The following is a 3,526-nucleotide window of genomic DNA, read 5'->3' as shown; positions in this document are numbered from 1 at the left end:
GCCCCTGTCCCAATCCCCATGGGACCTGGTTCTTGCACATGGTCTCTTTCAGGAATGGAGTCAGAACAACAGTTTCCAGTGACCACCTCATAGCTTCTAAATACCTCCTCTTCCACCAGAACTCCACCACCAAGACGACCCGATGGGGCAATAAGTTTGAGACTTTTAGGGTCATGCAGGCAACCTTTTTCTCAATACCAGGACGGCTCTGCCTGTACCATTTTCCTCTGCTTAGGCAGCTGATGGCTCTGACAGGCAGGCACCTGATCCTGTCTCATGAATGTGCATGAGCTAGTCTTAAAGCACCAGGCCTGAGCAGTGAGCTCTGGCTAGTGTCACAATAAATGGAACCATTGCCTAGCGACAAGTCCCTGCACCTTTGTGGAGAATGAGACCTCTGTGGAGGTGTGTCAGTGGTGGACTCTTGCCTGTCTTTTCTGTGGGATACACAGGACAGTGCCATGATTCTAGTAGATGGTAGATGTGAGCCAGCCCGAAGGAACATCAAGGAGAGTTCCAGGAATGAACCGTGAAATCCCTAAGGATCCAAAAGGATATGCAGGTTGCCTCCAGCCTGGTTACATGTTTCAGGGGTTACTCTTTTTAAAACTTGTCTCAAAATGATTACTACATATAGCCCACCTGTGTTCCCTAGGGTAGCTGTTTCCCAGATGTGTCTGCCTGCAGAACCATGCAGCCTCAGAAGCTGGCTTGCTGTTTCTGTGGGAGTGCTGCTAGTAGTGGATGTCTGCTTGTGTGTGTGGCTTTGTGTATTTGTGGGTGTGTGTGTGGGAGTGTGTGCCTGTTAGTGGAGTCTGCTTAAAATAATGTGGGCAATGCATTGCAGCACTTCTTCTTCCTTTTTTTTTTTTTTTGAGTAACCTAACATTTGTTTGCCTGTGTGTGTGGTTCTGCTTGGGATGCAAGGCTCCGTGTTCTTTATTTTTCTGTGGATCATGAATCTGTAGTGAATTAGGAGTCTGACCAAGATGAGCCAGAGTCCAAATCACCTCCCCCTGAAAAAAATTTACTTTTCCAGAAAGAAGAGCAGCACGTCATACCCAAGACCAACATCTCTCAGTGTTTCACGCTAACCCAAGGAGAGACACTAGCAGTCTTCTCTGCAGGACCCCTTGAATTTACATTGAATTCCATCCCCAGCCGAGCAGGTGCTTAAAGTCAACAGGGGACACTCCATTTTCTTGGAATTTCATTCTGGCAAAGAGGGTGTGAGCAGCAATAAGGTAAGAGAGGGGTTAGGACACTGTCTGGTGAGGGGTGTATGGGGTCCAGCACCTTCAACTGCAAAAAAGGTGAAGACAGATGAAACAGAAGTTGCTTCAAACTCCATCGCTGCATTCCCTTAATTGCATCAGCAGCGCACACCATGGCCCCATGTTCATCTGGGAGTACTCCAACATGAAAGGAACATTTGGAGTGCAAACTGGGGCCATCTGGGCAAACCCCAGATTCATTATGATAGCCGAATGGGAGTGGGATGGATTGATGCTGGGTGGGATGTGGCCTCCACACTTGCCTCTTCTTTTCCTGACTTCCATGTTCCCCATCTGCCTAGGGTTTCCTGGGTCTGGCTAAATGTCTTGCACACTAAATGTTTCCTAGTTCACAGAGGATGACACTCATGGGAATCCGTTGCACGAATGTTTCCTTACAAACACTGTCACATTTTAATGACTGGGCTGCTTTGATATATGTAAAACCATAAATTCCCATTACAGTTGTGGGAAAAGAAACTGTTGCTCTCCAACTTTTATCAGAGGACAGTGTATTCCTGGAGCATGAGAAGGAGGCCGGTGTGTCTGGCTTTTGCTTGGTAATCTAGGATGTGTTTCATTGTATCTGCATATCCTTTCTCATTGTGGAGAGACAATTTCATTGGGCTATTGCCAGATGTGACTACCTCTCTCCACAAATTATTTAGCTGTCAGGGATTTCAAAGTGCAAAAGGGACTTTGGGTAGGCTGGTTGCACTCCAGGTTGTGGGTGATTGCATCATTGTGCGGGCTGAGGTTGTTTGCACTTTGCAAGATTTGAGTCCTCTGACAAGAATCATTGAACATTGCTTATACTCCAGCAAAAGGCACTCATTTTCTCAGGTGAGCCTTGATTGTTCTTTGCTTTCTTGGGGAATCCACAGTGCCCCTCATCAGCACTACTGGACACCCTTTTCAGGCTTGCCATCACCACAGAGGGCCTCTAAGACACTGTCTCAACCTTATCTGCACCCGTGAGAGGCCAGTCTGAGGTGTGGGAATACTGTAATACCTTAGTCTTAACTTTGTCTTGGATTCTGCCTTTCCCAGAAAGCCCCAGTGAGGTCAAGATAAAGGGAAGCAGTGAGGTCAAGAGCTTGGCTATCTTTCACTGACACCTGGCTCTGTGGTCTCAGGTTTCAGGTATAAATCTATCACCCAAAAATTCTAAACAACCTACCAGGCTATATTCCAATCCCCATGGGATCTGACTCTTGCACACAGTTTCTTTCTGGAATGGAGCCAGAAGAGCAGTTTCCAATGATCACCTCGCAGTCTCAAAATGCCTCTTCCTCCAGCGAGACCCAACCACGGAGACAGCCCAAAGGGGGCCTGAGGTGAAGACTTTTATGGTCTGATAGTGAGTTTTCTGAGGCAGCATTTTCCCCAGTACTAGGCTGGCTCTGCTCCAGGAATAAACCGTGAAATCCTTAATGATCAAAAAGATCTGCAAGTCTCCTCAGGTCTGCCTAGATGTTGTGGGGGTGAGTAGTTTTGAAACTTGCCCCACTGTGATTTCTAGGTACACCCTGACTGTATTCTCTGGTGTTGCTCTCTCCTAGGTGGGTCTTCCTGAAGAACCAACCAAACTCAGGAGCTACCAGGCTGCTTGTTTCTGTGAAAATGTTGTGAGTGTTGGATGTCTGCATGTGTGTGTGCCATTGTGTGCTTAGGGGTGTGTGTGTGTGTGTGTGTGAGTGTGTGTGTGTTTGCCTTTAACTGGAGTCTGCTTAAAGGACTGTGGATAATGCACTTCAGTGCTTCTTTTTTTGAGTCTTCCAAACTTCTGGTTGCCCCTTGAATTTACCTCAAATTCATTTCATTGCTGAGCAGGTGCTTCACATCATGAAGGGATATTTTTCCATCATCTTGGGATTTCATTCTGGGACATAGAGTATGAGCCACAATAAGGTCAGAGAGGAGTGAGGATACAATCTTGTGAGGGGTGAACTGGGTCCAGCAACTTTGCCTGCAAAAATAAATAAATTAATTAATTAATTAGTAAATGAAGACAGATGACATAGCAGGTGCTTCCAACTCCATCCCAGCATTCCCTTAATTGCACAAGCAGTCCACACCATGGCCCAGTGTTCAGGTGGGAGTACTTCATTATGTAAGCAACATTTGGAATGAAAATTGGGGCCCTCCTGGCAAACTCTTGATTTGAGGTTTTTCATACCCAGAGGCAAATCGGAGTGGAATTGATTGATGCTGGGTGGCATGTGGCATCTACACTTGCCTCTTCTTTTTCT

General features: G+C 46.5%; 1 long non-coding RNA gene across 1 annotated transcript; it reads left to right on the top strand.

Annotated features, from left to right (window-relative positions):
- The first annotated feature begins 426 nt into the window (after positions 1 to 426).
- On the top strand, positions 427 to 3,026 carry TTTY8B (testis expressed transcript, Y-linked 8B). Its single transcript, NR_003591.1, has 3 exons — positions 427 to 562; positions 1,040 to 1,244; positions 2,837 to 3,026. It is a non-coding gene; the product is annotated as a testis expressed transcript, Y-linked 8B (long non-coding RNA).
- Positions 3,027 to 3,526: the final 500 nt, after the last annotated feature.

This window comes from Homo sapiens, chromosome Y, assembly GCF_000001405.40.
Source record: "Homo sapiens chromosome Y, GRCh38.p14 Primary Assembly".
Classification (NCBI taxonomy): domain Eukaryota; kingdom Metazoa; phylum Chordata; class Mammalia; order Primates; family Hominidae; genus Homo; species Homo sapiens.
Note: the sequence above shows the minus strand (reverse complement) of the source record. Positions and strands in the feature narration are given on the sequence as shown.